This window comes from Homo sapiens, chromosome 5 (assembly GCF_000001405.40).
Source record: "Homo sapiens chromosome 5, GRCh38.p14 Primary Assembly".
Lineage (NCBI taxonomy): Eukaryota > Metazoa > Chordata > Mammalia > Primates > Hominidae > Homo > Homo sapiens.
The window spans coordinates 121864416-121881889 of record NC_000005.10 but is presented as its reverse complement, the minus strand read 5'-3'; the positions used below and the strand labels follow the sequence as shown (position 1 = coordinate 121881889).

General features: G+C 34.4%; 2 long non-coding RNA genes across 3 annotated transcripts in view; one reads left to right on the top strand and one right to left on the bottom strand.

The window, feature by feature from the left end:
- Window positions 1-3103: 3103 nt before the first annotated feature.
- The window catches only part of LOC105379149 (uncharacterized), a 49301-nt gene continuing 34930 nt past the window's right edge, over window positions 3104-17474 (bottom strand). The window contains exon 4 of one of the 2 annotated variants that reach the window (XR_948712.3): window positions 3104-3211. This is a non-coding gene — a long non-coding RNA (uncharacterized LOC105379149). Of the gene's footprint in view, window positions 3212-14423; window positions 14478-17474 lie in introns of those variants that run through there. The other variant, XR_001742862.1, reaches the window with a different exon arrangement.
- Window positions 9350-14550, top strand: LOC105379148 (uncharacterized). The gene is made up of 3 exons (XR_001742863.2): window positions 9350-9585; window positions 14036-14148; window positions 14315-14550. It is a non-coding gene; the product is annotated as an uncharacterized LOC105379148 (long non-coding RNA).

Genomic DNA, 17474 nt, shown 5'->3' with positions numbered 1-17474 from the left:
CTATAATTCTAGTTTACCAACTTTCTTAGATCATCGCCCCTTTTTAGAAATGTATATCCAGCTCCGTTATACTATAACATGGATTCTGCAGTAAATTCTGTTTCTTTTGTATGTTATTACAGTCAATTAGGTGACTAACAAACATTTTCTGAAGGTGATTCACTTTAGAGTAATTCTATAAGTATATATAACACAGGCTAATTCTTAGAGTGGTATTTTTAAAACAATTAGATTAAGAATAAAAAATCCCAGAGCCTTGTGTGATTTTTTAATAATATTATGTAAGAAAATGAATTTCTTCAAAATGATAACTCTCATTGGGTTCTTATAGTTTTTAATTTTTATATATCTGATGAAGCTCAATAATTTTTAGATAGGTAGAATGCCAATTTAAATTTCTTTTAAAAATTTCAACCAAAAATATGAAATAAATTGATATAAGCATATTTTGGATCATCCAGATAACCACTTATAACCAAGGACTCAAGTAGGACTTGACTGTTCACAGTTGGTATTTGCCTTGGCTGTGCTTCTCAATCTTCACTCTACTGACATTTTGGACTTGGTAATTCTTTGTCATGGGGCTCTATCCTTGCATTTAGGATGTTTAGCAGAATATCTGTCCTCTGTTTACTAGAAGCTAGTATTCCTTCTTCCATTTTGTAACAATCAAAATGTCTCTGTATGCTACCAAATGTCCCTTGTAGGGCAAAATTGCCCTCATAGAGAGTTGTGCCTTGGTGAATATAATGTGTTTAAGCTAAGGGGTAGTTTAAATGTAGAATAATATTAAAAGAACAGAGGCAGAGCTTCGTACATAAATGATGCATCTAATACCAAGTAAAGGCCCAATTACAAAACAGTGCACTGCACAATTGAACATTTTCCAATAGTTTTAATAGAGAAGTCTTAGAATACTTGAATCATCAGATATCACAGGATAGCGTAAGCATTCTGAACTAAGATGACAAACCAGTGTGTTAAGTATCATCTTTACATTTTGTTGCAGCAAAATAGCATAATTTACCACACTAAATTAATGTTAATTTGAATTTTATTGCTTTTATAATTTTGTTTGTATATATTTATTTTGGTTTTAGAATTGATGTTCTAACCATAAGCTCTAAGCATAAGGAGTTTATACTTAGCTTTGTGTTTATACATATTGGACAAACAATAATAAAAATAATTTGTCAATACTAGGAAGCCTCAAAGAGCATTTTTTTTTACATTGAAATAGATTAGTACATTTCTGAAACTTGAGAAACACTAAATTTAGGGCATCTGAGGCTGGGTAGAGGGAGGAACAGCAGGTAAATAGGAAGAGGAGATCCTTGAAAAATTCGGGGAAAACTCCAGAGTTAGCTGCTGGACTTCTACTGTATGATTTTAATTTGTGCCAGCTATATAAGAAAAAAATCAATATTCTTTTAACTAGGTTATTCTATATTTTTCTTTTTGATAAAAAATAGTTTATTTTTTGCTCTGTAAACTGCCATGTGGAAAGCATGCTTATCCAAGCAAGATAATTTCAATTTTGATTCCAACTGAAGACATAGGAACTAGGGATAGAATTAGATCAGTTTTCAGATAGTTTTCAAAATTTATTATGTCACATTGTATAAACAATATATGATCCTCTGTGATTTTAGAGCAAATGGAACAGCTTCCCAGGTTGCAAAGCAGGCTCCTTTTACCTGTTGTGTTCTCATTCACATTATCTGTTATTGTTACCTTATGCCTCTGTTGGATTGATCTGCTCAAAATAATTTTAGGACTCTATTGCCCTATGCACCAAAGGTGCTAAAAGACCCTCTCCTTCTGTCAGAGGCCTGTGAACCAGAGCAACTCCATCTTGAATAGGAGCTGGGTAAAATGAGGCTGAGACTTACTGGGCTGCATTCCCAGATGGTTAAGGCATACTAAGTTACCAGATGAGATAGGAAATTGGCACAAGATACAGGTTATAAAGACCTTGGTGATAAAACAGGTTGCAGTAAAGAAGCTGGGTAAATCCCACCAGAACCAAGATGGCCACAAGAGTGACCTTTTGTTGTCCTCACTACTACAGTCTCATCAGCGCCATGACAGTTTACAAATGCCATGGCAATGTCAGGAAGTTACCTTATATGGTCTAAAAAGGGGAGGCATAAATAATCCTTCCCTTGTTTGGCATATCATCAAGAAATAACCGTAAAAATGGGCAAACGGCAGCCCTCGGGGCTGCTCTGTCTATGGAGTATCCATTCGTTTATTCCTCTCTTTCTTAAACTTGCTTTCACTTTACGGACTTGCCCTGAATTCTTTCTTGTATGAGATCCAAGAACCCTCTCTTGGGGGTCTGGATAGGGACACCATTCCCGTAACACTTCCAGTTTTTAGACATATTCCTTTGCTTCTTTTTCCTCTCATTGTCTTTTATTGGAGGATATTTTGGAGTGTGGTCAGTAAAGTAAAAGATTGAAATTGGTCATAATTGCTTATTGTTTCAATGGTTGAAGTGGAAGAGCTGGAACCCATTTCTCTCCATCCCCAGAATAAGAAAGCTCTAGAATGACTGATTTATCTAACCCCAGGATGGCTGGAGATTATGCACTGCCCTAGGCTTCAGGGAAAATGAATGTTTGTGGTGAAGTGAAAGGGATAGGAGAGCATTTTCTAGCTTTCAGAGAGGAAGGGCTTCCTTTTAACCTGAGTACTGAAGATGACTGACCCCTCTATACCCCACCGCTCAACCAACAATGAACCAAACATCTACATTGCCATAGAGACAGCCAGACCAGAGACTCAGTTTTTATCTAAGATCTAATGAAACAACACTGCTTTTGGAGGCTAAAGAAAAAAAGTGCTAGAAGAGAGAGAAAAGAATTTCTTTTATTGTTGATTTTTATGTATTTTTTAAACTTTTATTTTAAGTTCAGATGTACAAGTACAGGTACGTTACATAGGTAAACTTGTGTCATGGGGGTTTGTTGTGCAGATTATTTCATCACCCAGGTATTAGGCCTAGTACTCATTAATTATTTTTCCTGATCTTCTGGCTCCTCCCACTCTCCACCCTCTGAACGGCTGAAGTTCTGAGGAAAGAATTTTGGAGAGCACTTGTGCTGAATTAAGAACCTTGTTCTCCTCTTTTCCTTAGGTGGAAGTAGAATTTTCAGGTATTTCATGTGTCTCTAATCTGTATGAAGATTTGTGTCATAATATATTTCTAAAAAGACAATAAAAATCAAAGCAATAGATTAGATCAGAATGTCACTATATCATTAGGATGACCCTCTACTAATTAGGGCTATAGCTTTCTTTTATAAAGTTATTGCTTTCTTTTATAAAGTTAGATGATTTTAGATATAATCTTTTGGAAGGAAACATTCTTTGGTATTTCATGTGACATAATTATTACAAAGTCTTATAAAAAATACAGTTTATGCAGGAAGCTTTATGTGTCACTTTATAAGCTCTAATGTGTTGTAGCATTTATGTTTTGAAGACCTAATATTTGAAAAAGGATATCTTCAAATTGCTGTGCTTTTGGCATTAAGCCTCTCACTCTTATAAAGGAAGTAGAAGCATTATTTGATAGAAAAATTTCAGTCACAGTTTTATAATATCAAACTTCAATAAGATAAGTGAAAATGTAGGCCCAGTTTCTTTCAGGCACAGTTGTCTTGTAAACCGCCAACATATTTGACAGGTGCAACTTGTACTGAGCTTGTCAGAGATATAAGAAGGATCCCCAAAGTAACAGAAATAGAGAATTTAACCTTCTGAAGGTTCATAACCCATTGAAAACAGTTGTTGGACATATTTCTTATTATCTTTGTAGAAGGGAACAAAATCTGATTTATTCCAAAATTTATTCGAAGAGATGCGCCAATGCGCTTTACACATTGACATATTTTTTAGAACTCTAAATTGCTGAAACCAAGTTTATTTGAAACCCAGAAGAGAATGAAAAATTCTCTATTGACTATGTTATTCATTATCTCTTAAACTTAAATATGTTTTATAAAGGAATAGGTCATCATGTTTATTTTAAAATTCCTTCTTTTTAAATTCACTTATAGTGTGGATAAATCTATGTGGATAAGAAACCAAAAAAAGTTAAATAAACCAGAAAAACACAAATAAAGCACAAATCATTCCTTTTATAAGTATTTTGTATTTTATACAGAAAAACTTGTAAATGGAATGTCTTTTGGATTTTCACATTACTACCTATCATTCTTTATCATTGAGGAAGAATCCTTCCAAAGAAGATAATGCTGATGACCATGGCCATTGAAACCTGGAATTTCAGGTATCAGAGATGAAAAGAAATCTTTTTTTGAAGATAAAGAACTATCTAAGTGAAGCATAGAATAGTTCTTTATTAACTGCAGAGAAACTAGACCCAACCCCCGTAGTTGGTTTTAGAGCACTCAAACACTTTTTTTCACTGAAACTAAGGTTCTTATTATGCATGTTTTCTAATTACACACTTAAGTGCCATGTTGTTATATTCCATATACAAACCAGAGAGCAGTACTTAAGAGTCTGTAAATATATGCCATACCTAAGTTTTGAGACTATGCTTTCTTTCCTCTCTACTCTTCTATATTCATTTTCCTTTCTTCTCATTTTGAAAAGACTTCTCCTCCATCAGTAATCGAATTAATTTTGTGTGTAAAGGAGAGCACTTCGTGTCTCAGGTGCTAATGAGGTTTAATTTCCAGCTGAAACTCTTTTTATGAATAATTAAAACATTAAAGATAGATCTGAATAATTTCAGTCAGAGAAGGAACTACTCCTTTCATGAACCTGGCGTTTATTAATTGAACAACTATTTCCTGTATGCCTCTGATGTGCAGGGCCCAGTGCACAGATCTATTTATTAATTAGATATTGTCCATACCTTCCTGTAGAAGGAATACTTAATTCAAATTAGAATTACGTAGAAATATAAAAAAACCATTTGCAGAACCAGGTATTCTCCCTAGAAGATAGATAGCATTTTAGTGCATTTAAGATATAAAAAAAAATCTTACCACAGGAGAATAAAGAATGTCCCAAAGAGAGGTGAGTAGTTCAAGTGCAGAGAGAGAGTATCTTTGCAAAATATCAAGAAGTGTGGTTGTTTATATATTTAAACTTTTTCTCAGTTTGAGACACACCATATTATTGACTTTATCCACTGTTAACAAACCATCCTTACACCATTATGGCTTGCTTCTTCCAGGCCTACTTACTTACCCAAGCTGGAAGACCAGCTGGGCAGCTTTGCTCAGCCCTTGGTCATTCTTGACTGAAGTAAAAACATTCTTAACTACTTTGTTCCCAGCAGCAGAAGACTGAAATAAGTTCTTGTTAGATCCACGGTCGGCTGCGCTAGGGTGAGCCCTGACAATCAGAAGGGCCTTGAACTATAGATCATCTCTACCCCCTTGTTTCGTCCCTTGTGCTGAACTTCAGCCTGTGGAATCACTAGTACTCTGCCAGGCTTTTCCTTTGGCTTCAGGGAGTGGACCCAGCATTCTTGTCCTTGGTGGACTTACTGTTTTGAAGAAATTGGTAATTTGATAATGACAATACAATTACTCATGCAAAAATGTAGCTCCTGCAATTCCTTCTCCTTCCAGTGTGAATTCTTCCCTGGAGTGAACCTCTTGGATGTGGAACATGACAGAACCAATACTGGTGAACAACAGTCCTCCAAGCAAATGATAGTGCTACATACAAAGGAAGTTGGAATGGATATTGGTTAAGCAAAAGCAATGTTTGTTGAGCAAACTCAGCCTCCTCATCTGTCTATGGGTCTAAGTCATCATTTCTTTTTCTGGACTACACTATTCTGAGTATGCATTGAGCCTAACTCCTCCAAATTTATGAAAATACTGGCACCTCTAACGTTATTTTGTTTTTTATGTGGCTTCTTCTTGGAGGATTTTCATTTCAAGTTTGGTCAGACTTGAGTTCTCTGCGTAACATAATCAGATCCAAAACCTTCTCACCAGGGGAACACATTTACTTTATTTCTGTTAAAATTGAGAAGAATAACAAGATGTAATATCATATTTATCTATAGTTAACAAAATTGCTATCAGATTTTAAAAATCTTAATATCTCACACACCTTATCAAGATTTCCTGGCCGGGCGAGGTGGCTCACGCCTGTAATCCCAGCACTTTGGGAGGCCGAGACGGGCGAATCACGAGGTCAGGAGATTGAGACCATCCTGGCTAAGACGGTGAAATCCTGCCTCTACTAAAAATACAAAAAATTAGCCGGGCTTGGTGGCAGGCGCCTGTAGTCCCAGCTACTTGGGAGGCTGAGGCAGGAGAATGGCGTGAACCCGGGAGGCAGAGCTTGCAGTGAGCCGAGATCGTGCCACTGCACTCCAGCCTGGGGGACAGAGCGAGACTCCATCTCAAAAAAAAAAAAAAAAAAAGATTTCCTATGCCTTTAAATTTAGACCTGGTTAAAATTAATTATAACTAATTCTGGTAATGTCTATTGTAGCCTAAAAAATGAACAGAGTAATTTTAATTGAAGCTGCAATCTGCCTATTGTAGTTTAATATTTTTTTGTAAGCATAAATTAATAATATTTTGTGTTTCTTATTGTTCACTTACAAGTTTAATACATATTTTCAAATATTCTTTCTTAAACAGTAGCATCGTAATATTTTAAATATATGCAGTTTTTAATAAAGAAATTTCTAACACCTGCCTTAAACAGTTCTCACCTTTTCAACCCAGTCACCCATGAATTTATCTGTTCTTTGTTTTTTCTTAAAAGATGAGTGGCTAACATATCAGGACAAGATAATATTTAAAGATATTTTCAGTTAAAATAGTCAATAAATCTGTGACTCTTTAGTATATTGTTTGGCTGTACTTCTGTTGTGATGGGCATCTTGTTATACACATGTGAGTGCTTAACTTAATAAATTATAGCTGTTTATCTTAATTCAGCTCAACTGTGATGCCAATTAGGTAAAAATGATTCATTTTAACATCATGTAAATGAGGCATTTTTGCAGAGGCAATTTTTCTCCATCCATCAAGTACATATCCCCTCTCAACTACTTTGTAGGTTCTAATATGTGTTTCCCGTCATAATGGAAAATTAGTATCAGGTAGGGTGAACATTTTAGCATAATCTATCACGACTGGCTAATTTTTGTATTTTTGTAGAGACAGGCTGTCACCATGTTGGCCAGGCTGGTCTTGAAATCCTGACCTCAGGTGATCCCCCTACCTTGGCCTTCCAAAGTGCTGGCATTACAGGTGTGAACCACTGTGCTCAGCCAGGAATATTTTTTAAAGGCAGCTTAGAATTGCTTTTTTTCCCCTCTAATGATAGTCCTGCAATATCATCTTAGCTCTTGGACTATCATGTATCAGTGAGACGGTAGAATTGTCAGGTTATAAGAATCTAGATAAAAAAGTAAATAACAACAATGCCATTTTCAGTTTATTTTATTTTAATTAATATTTACAAGAATAATTATCTGGTGCCTTGGACCAGAACTCAGTTTCCTGTGCAATATATTTCGGAAATATACCATCAAAACAAGTAATAATATTGAATTGGCAGGGGTTAAAAGACAGTGCATATACTGTCATAGGAAGCTAGGAGGTTAAAGTGGCCACAGATGTTAAATATAATGTGTTTTATGACTGGACTTTTTTGAAAGCAATGGAGCACTCTTAATCTGGGCTTAGCTCTATTACTTTCAATAAAAAACTCCTAATATAAATGTGCTGGATCAATCAATATTCAATTGAAAGCAGTACTGTAGTATGCAGAACATTTTCTCTCAAATCTTTGCTTCCAATGAATCAGCACATGATAGAATGCACTATTGATCACAATTAAAAAGTTATTAAGTAGACAGTGTGAGTATATAAAAGTCTATTTAAAAATATTAATATAACCAAATATCAAAAATGCTAATATTTGAAATGGAAAGGTATATATTAGGAAGTACCTCAAAATATAGCTTACTGAAATACACAACTCTTTTTCACAGAGGGTATAATATAGAGGTGTTATCATAGGAAGAAAGAAATCTAGGATTGGTATGAAAACAATAGTTTCAAGAAAAATCATGTTAAGTGCCTATTACAGCTCAACATTGTGCTAATATTGTTCAAATTATAATTTGTAAAGGGTAGGGATAGGGACATAACAGAAAATATAATGGATTTTTCAAACAATTGTCCCTAGAGGATTGTATCAGTAACTGAGGGAAAGTAGCAGATAGCAGTGATCTCAAAATAGTTACCACATAATCCCAGCCACCTGTTATTTTGAGATTCTTGAAGTCCCTGACCTGCATTAACTTACAAAGTATAGCATGAGGTAACAGTTTGTGAAGACTTAGATTAAGGGGCTGGATGCCCAAGCAGCTAATCGATAAGTATTGTGTGACTCCTTACACATATTTCCTAATGACATGGTCAGCCTCTACAATCAAAAATTTCAAAATAAAAACCACTCTCCACCATCACCTACCTAAACAAGTGATACACACACACAGGCACAGAGGACAATTGTAGACTGTGCTTACCAACTCAGAGCCAGTCAGCTGCTGATACTCTAAAATCAGCAATACTGGTAGCTGGATTTCAGAAAATAAATAATAAATGGAGGAATACAGCTTACCAGAAAAGAGTATTTTCTTTTATGAAAAGTTTAAGCGCTTTAATATGCCTCCCCCAAAATTGCTTATTTAGGATATTGCATAAAAAATTCTAGCAAGAACAAAACCATAGACAGATTGGAAATGCCTTGCTGTTGTGAAAGCCAGGAAAAAAGTACACACATATTTTGAAAAGGAATTTGGAACTATTTTCTTGCATGTTATGTCTTTTTTAATGTGAGTAATGTGATCCAGTTATGACTGAAGAGAAAAATGTGAAATGAAAGACAATCTTGAGTTCAAACAATAGGCATGCGATAAATTCTTCAGTCTAAACATAATAAAAAAAGTGTATACTTTTATGAACAGAAAAAAATCAGATTGCCTCTCTCCAAGGTAAATGCTAATTTCATATTTAAAAGCTATACATTTGATGAAATCCTAGGTTTTTAGCCTGCTTGAGGTGTCTTTATTTGCTCCAAGTTATTGACATGGAATAAAATAAAGTATAATATGGCCTAGGATGGTCATTAGGACTTCTAATGGATCAGGAAGGATAGAAGGATATGCTGAGAATTGAGTTGATTCTTAAAGTTTAGAAATTGAATTAGAAAAAAAAATGGGAGGGAGGAGGGGAATGCAGATTTATTTTCTGAGACATTATGTATTTGTAAAATGCTTCTGTTTTAATTAACTAGATATCGAAGGCAAAAAAATCACATATGTGGTTGAAAAACAACACAATCTCACATTTCCAAAATAGTCAGTTTGTATTTTTACTTTTTGAAGTATCATACAGTCAGAAGAGAAACTAGGGGATATCTCTTTTATTTCTTTAGCTCCTTCAAAAAGACCTTTGGTCACTTTGATGGTTAAGCTGTTTGAATGCTGCAGAACCTTGACTCACCACGTTTACTGGAGGAGCCACGAATCCATGATGAGGAAGGCAAGTTGCCTTTGTAAGTCAAAGATGCTCATAAGTTATTTTCATTATAGATTAATGAGCTGTGAAGATTCAAATCTCTCGAAGAGTTGGATGTATTGTGGTCTGTGTACTATGGTGCAGATGGGAAGTTACAAGTTGTTTCAGAGCTTTAGCCATTTAGAGGAAATCAATTCAGACTATAAAAATACCATTTAAGTCTTCTTCTAAGTGGATATTTTGTGGGCATCAATGCAGAACAGTATTATTTCTTTTACAGATATTATGAATGATGAGTATTTCATACTCTGATTTATTTTGAGATTTGGGAGGATGTCAAATTAAATAATATCCATTTACAATAATTATAATAATAATCTTTCTTGTTCACCATATCCCACTTGCCATAGACCAGTCACTGTGATAAATGCCTTACACACCTTAATTTAGTGCTTTTTAGAACTCTGTGAGGCAAATGAGAAAACCAAGGCAAGAGAAGCTTAATAACTGACCAAAAGTCATACAACTGATAAGTGGGAAAGTCAGAATTCAAACCCATACCCGTTTAATGAAAACCCGAATTTTTATTCCCTCCTCCATTAACTAAATGTAATTACCTTCCCCAAATCACATGAGTGCTGTGTTAGTCAAGAAGGTTTACTGCACATAACAGCTTAATAAAAGAAAAATGTGTTGGAAGATACAGTGGGTGTTCACAGAATTTTTTAAAAAAGACCTAAAGAAACCATAGCTGTTTTTGAGGACAGGGATTAGAACAAGGATCTGGAATAAAATCAGATCTGTTTTTCTTATTTCCTATATTGCGGTAGATGCAGAAATTTTATATGTATTATTTTATGTCTTCAAAAATTCTCTGGATAAGCATCCACTATTTCTTGTCACAGCTGTGATAACTAAGGCATGGGAAGTGAATTGATTTGTCCAAGATAGGTGGCTAATCAGTTGCAGAGGAAAGACTGGCGCTCAGCTTTCTTAGGCATGTATTCTGTTTCTGCTAACTTATTGTGTTATATAAAGCCAAACTGTATCAGCATTCCTATAAGTGTTACTTTTCTTATTTAAGTAAACAGGCAGGTTAATGGAGATATTAATATACATACATATTTTTGAGACGGAGTCTCACTCTGTCACCCAGGCTGGAGTGGATATTAATATTTTTTAAGGAGAAAACCAGTTTGATATTTGAGATTCTTATATGCCTCCTATATATATATATTAAATATATGTATTTAATATTGACAATATAAAACTCAAGAACAATATATTGGCAAACAATCTATATCTTAAACGTGTTCAGCATTATGTGATAGCAGCAAATGAAAGTTTATCTTTACTAACATGGATTTCATTAATTCTCTGTAGAATAAAGATTTCACTAAAATGCCTTTCTAATACACTGACTTTGGAATACAACATTTGGTCCATAGCAGATGCACAATGAGAAAAGGCTTTTTTGATAAAAATTATTCAGTGTTCTTTTATTAGCCATACCTTTTGTAGACATGCTAATAAAGGTAAAGCTGTTGATTAATTTCTGTGATATCAAGAACATTTTTTTTGCATTTTACTGTGTAAATGATTTCAAATACGTTTCCAAATTAGATACCTTATCCACAAGATGGTGTCCTAACATTAGCAACCAACTGGTTGCGCTTGTAAATGGAATCAACTTTACTTGGAAAAAATGTTTTTCAAGTTGAAAATGCCAAGTGCCCATGCATAAACATAATTACTCCTCAGCCTGTAGTTTTGTGCAAAATGTACTTGGGATAATGCATTGTTCAACTCAATTTGATTAACTCTCTTTGTTGTAGATTTGTATTTATTTATGTTAATGCTACAGTGGAATACTCAGTTCATTAACTTCTAATTTTGCTAAAACAGGAAAACTGTTTTCTTTGCAAATCACAACACATTTTCCAATGACAAAATACAAAATAGCTGAACTTTGTGATACATATATATATATATATATATATATATATATATATATATATATATATATATTTTATCGTATGTCAGCAGAAACACATTTAAGAATGTTAGATTTGTATCATGTATTAAAAATGTCCATAATGGTTTGTTGGTGAAATCAGGGATGGTAGTATCTAGCTATTCTTGCACCTGACTACATTTAAAATCTGAATATGGAACGTTGTATGTAGCTTTCCGAATTGAACATCATTGTTTTCTGTTTTTAAACCAATATTTATTCCCTGGATTCAGGAAATCGTTAGTTATAATTCTTACTGGCTATCCCTAATTTTTGAACATATTTAGTGGCATCACAATATCAATTCTGGGGGAAAAGAGGTTGGATACTTTTTATTGCTTCTAGGAGAGTCTGAATAACAAAAGAAATTGTTTTAGATAAATTTAAGTATATCAGTCATAAATTCTAGCTCCATTTAAAAAAAACTTAAAAAATATTTTATTAACTTAAAAAAAAGCTAGACTTGCCTTACAATTAATTGTAGTACTTTCGATTTTAAAAAAGAGTTTTCCATTTTTATGTTATCATCACTTCTACCAGTCTGTGAGTTTCTAAAATGAGTGGTTTTTCATTTTGTGTTTTCTGTTTTGGTGATCAAGTAGCACTTAAAACATTTTTTTTATAATGATACAATTTATGTATTTATTTGTCTATTTGACAAATAATTATATATATTTATCGTTTACAACATGATGTTTTGAAATATGAATACATTGTGGAATGGTTATATCAAGCTAATTAACATATCCATTATCTCACATGCTTATTTTTTTGTGGTGACACTTAAAATCTATTCTGTTAGCAATTTTTAAGTATGCAAATACATTGTTATTAAATATATTCACCATGTGTACAGTACATCTCTTCAACCTATTCTTTCTAACTGATATTTTGTATTCTTTGACCAACATATCCACAACCCCTGGCAACTACCATTCTGTTCTCTGTTTCTATGAGTTTGATTTTTTCAGATTCCACATCCATATGAGATCATGCAGTATTTGTCTTTCTGTGCCTAGCTTATTTCATTTAACATAGTATACTTCAGGTTCACAAATCACAAAATTTCCTTATTTTTTAAAGGCTGAATAATAGTCCATTGTGTATATATACCACATTTTAAAAATCCATTTACTGTTGATGGACATTTACATTAATTCCATAACTTGGCTATTGTCAATAATGCTGCAATTAACATGGGAGTGCAGATATCTTGTCAACATACTGACTTGATTTTTTTATATATGTATAACCAGAAGTGAGATTGCTAGATCATATGATAGTTCTATTTTAATTTTCTTTTGAGGAGCATCCATACTGTTTCTTGATATGCTGCACCATTTTACATTCCCACCAACAGTGGACAAAGGTTCTCTTTTTTCCACATCCTCACCAACACTTGTTATTTTTTGTCCTTTTGATTATAGCTATTCTAACAGATGTGAGGTGATACCACATTGCAGTTTTACTTTGTATTTCTCTGATAAGTAGTGATGTTGAACATTTTTTCATATATCTGTTGGCCATTTGCATGTCTTCTTTTGAGAAATGTCTATTTAGGTTCTTTGTCCATTTAAAAACTTGGGTTATTTATTTTCTTGCAATTGTGTTTTTTGAGTTCCTTATATACTTTGAATATTAACCTCTTACATGTATGGTTTACAAATACTTTCTCCCATTCTATGGGTTCCCTGTTGACTCTGTTGATTGTTTTCTTCGCTGTGAAGAAGATTTTTAGCCTGATGTAGTCTCATTTGTCTGGTTTTGCTTTTGTTGCCTGTGCTTTTAGGGTTATATCCAAAAAAATCTTTGCTGGATCGATTTTGGGGACCTCTCTAGACTTTCATCTTGAAAAAGAAAGTTTTCATTAAGTCATTTGTTTATGTATAGGACAAGAAAGAAATATATCACAATGACTTATATAGAATTATTTCATAAGTTATTCTTATTAATGGTACAAATGTGAATATTATAGGATTTTAGAAACAAATCTGGCAATATCTATGAAAATAAAATATACATATTTTTGAACCTATTATTATTTTTGGAAACCTACAGAAATGAAACTACCAGTCCATAGGGGCATATATACAATGATATTTACTCCAGCATTGTTCATGGGGGCCAAAACGAACACAAAACAAAACAGTAATCAAGATGAATGCCCAGCAAAAGATGAATGACTACATTATGATATGTCAACATCATGGAGTATTATGTAGCTACTCAAAGAATAAACTAAAGTTATAAAATGGTACAAGTTGTGTTGAAGGAATTTATACTATGTGCTATTGAATGGTAAAACTAAGAAATGTATAATATCCCATTAACAAAAACCAAAATCTTATATATTTATAACACTTTTATTCATGTATATGCCTACATACGTTTGTGTATGTGATTAAACTGTTATAGAAGGAAGCACGGAAGAATTCTTTTTTTTTTTTTTTTTAACATGGGGTCCTTGTTGAAGACTCTCACAGTCAGACTCCCTGGAAAGCGGTTCTGAGACAGAGATTGGCATTCAAGGAGTGAATGGGGGAGTGGCAGAGGGCTCCTTGTGTCAACCACTGAAGGGAAATGAAGGTAGGTCAAGCTTAGGGAGGGGTTGGGTTGTGATGAAGTCACAGCAAAAACTGGTTCCAGAAGGCCCTCTGGAGCTGAAATATCCCTGATATCCCCGCATGGTTTTTCCAAATAGGAGCAAGGGAGCTTTGTTTCCTGACATTCTCTGTATGCTTTCCCCTTCCAGCCCTCAGCACTGACTAGTCATTGGCTGTGGACTGCCCCAGGAAGGAGGTAAGATGTCATACCCGCAGCTCTCTTCAGCTGAGGGTGAAACTTGGAAGGAAGGATTCGCCTGTGAGCCATCAACTGTCAGCATTCCCAGAAGCTGAGAAGTAAGTTCTTTAGTCCTGAAAAGGGTAAGGAAATCTAGTTGGAATACCATAGTGTCTTCTAAAGGACTGAGTGAAGAATATGGTTGAAATGGGGGAGAGGAGAGGAAGAGGTAGCCATAAAAGAAAAGAAACAAATAATTTTAATAAAATAATGTAAAGAAATGGTAAATGTTACTCTCACTGCAAAGCTTATGGGAGTAATAATACTATGAAACATTCATAATGTTTTCCCTGAATAAACCTCCTTCTGAAATCTTTCTCAATCCAGTTTTCTGGGTCATCCTTACTTTTTAATGTACTGTATTTTCTTTGACAACACTGAAGAAATAAAATGCTCAGTAAAGGAGAATTGAGAAGGAAGCTTAAAGGTTTTATTTTTGGAAGGATAAATGGCTGATGGAGGTAGTTGCATCAGTCTATACACTTGGTACAGTATTTTGGCTATGGGAGCTGTATTCCCACTAAGATCTGTATTGGAAGAAGAAAATGGTTGGGATAAATAGGTAAGCTTGTTTATAATATACTGTGCCTCAATATATTACAAAATAGCTCTGAACTACTTTAGCTAGATTACACACACAGCTTTATAGTTTGATTTGCTTATTGAACAGCTATCATGTGCCAGGGAGTTTATTCGGCCCTGGGGACTAGAAACTAAAGATGGTGATTCAGAGCTTGTAGGATAGACAGACAAATAAAAGGCAATCACGGAGTGATAAGCATTGTGGTATGGATAGATACCGTGCTCTAGGAGCTAAAATGACTACCCAAACACAAACTAGAAGATAGTAAGTAGAGGATATCAAAACTTCTGGGAAGATGAAATTTCTGAATTATGGGGTGGATATTAGGGCCGGTGAATAGCAAGGAAGAAAACTGGAATGTAATAAGGGCACACTTGGGGAACTGTAAGTAGTTCAATGGGTTGCCGTTGAGACTGTAAGCAGTGTGGATTAGGATGAGGACTATTAAGAGATGCTGTTGGAGAAAGAGCAGGGACAAGACCATTGTCCAGACCCTGACAGGAAACACATGGCACAGTCAAGTGGAATTATTTGAAGAGAGTATAATAAAGCAGCTATTTACAAAAGATGGGGAGGAGAGGAGACCAAGAGTTGGATAATTCCTCCCCAGGCCTGATGCAGGAAGAATTACAGGGTTTTTTTTGGAACCTGGAGACAAAGGGACTAAGTAGAGGGGAGCTGCCTTACAGAAGATATCGCTTCTGTGGAGGGATGCTGCAAACCTGCAGCGACACTGAACACAAAGAGCTGAGAGAAGAAATACCTTGATGGGACCACAGGGCTCCACAGAGCAGGGGGGCCCATTAATATGTTCTTGTAGTTCAGCATCTTGAAGCATGGGGAGAGGTGGAGAAGAGCACAGAGTGGGTCTGGAGAGCAGACTGAGGCAGAGTAAATGTGGGAAGAAAACTTAGGAGACTATGCCAGTGGTCTGGGTGTCTGGGAGAGCAGTCATGGTAGTTGTGTTAGTGGAAAAGATGCAGAGTACAGATACAATCTAGAGATATTTAGAAAGTAAAAATCTCCAGACCTTGGCAACTATTTGGACATGGAAGTCGAGGGAAAGAAAATTGTTAAGCATGATTATCAGGTTTCTGACTAAATTAGACGCACTTTGTGAAAAAAATTCATTTTTCCTTTTGACGGTTATAACTTTTCTCCATATTTCCACTAACTCTTCCCACAAATCTTCATTTATTGCAATGATATTTCATCTATGCTTGATTGGTTTCCCTACATTACAAAATGAACTCATGTCCTCTTCTTACTTACTCAGTCACTACATCTTCAGAGATTTCCACCCCCGAGTTTCCTCCCCAAGTTCACACAGCACCTTCTTTCTAACTGCCTCCTCTTTTGGATGTACTCTGTGTGCAATTAGCAATGAATGGAAGTAGCATGCTGTCAGTTAGAAGTTTTGTGTCATTAAAATTCGTTGGTGACATTGAATTTTCCAGTTATAGTTTCTGTTTATTTCTATCTTGCTCATGTTTCCTTCTTCATAATTACCCCTCTTGTTATCCAAACAACCTATGTCCTTTGCTCTTTCAAGATTACTAATACAATATGTAGTGTCTAAGTATTTAAAAATGCAGAGTAGCCAGTAATAATATACAGTAGTTCACCCTAAAATAGTCAAGTTATTCCTCAAACACATTTTGTATGTATCTGTAAAGAAAATGTTGGAAACAAGTCTATCGAAATCTTTTTCTGTTTCAGTGATGGAATTGACTCTCCTGAACTCATGCACAGAAGAAAAAATAAAATACCATCAATTATTTTGTGTTACTAGCCTTGTCACGATAACTATTTTTTTCATTTGACCATATGAATCCAGTTGTGTATATATTTCATATGTGACAATAAAATACTGAAAACAAGAAACTGAATTCAGGTAATGCTGACATTTGTAACATTTTTGGTGTTAATTTTGAAAATAGGTCTAATATTACAGATTTGACATTATTATATTCCATTAATGATAATAGTTAGGTTCATAAATCACACATTCTTTAAAATGAAGCAGAAAGTTCATATTATCTGGTGGAAAAGAAGCATGACTACTTTCAGCTTGGCTTTGCAAGTTGAAACTATGCAAAGTGAGTTTAGTAATCATGGAAAAAATCATGATTTTTGTGGAGCGTTTAAATTTTTTGTCAAAACACTAAACACTCTCTTACTTCTGGGAATAAATATAAAGGAAAATAAAAACTAGTAAAACTAATATTTAGTACACTGTAATTAAAACAGTTGAAACATTAAAAATTAGTGTTTCATTTCTTTGAAAAAATAATAAGAGTAGTTTAAACAGTGCTTTTCTGCTTTTCTTCTTATAATGTAACTCAGCACATGGAGCCAACATCTTTTTTACACCTTGGAAAATTGTCATACTCCTTTCTAAATCTGAATCCGTTTCCAAAATGTTATTTTTTGTGTGTTTTGAGTGTTGTAAAATATTGTAAAATAGCTCCAAGAGTTTGATAATGTG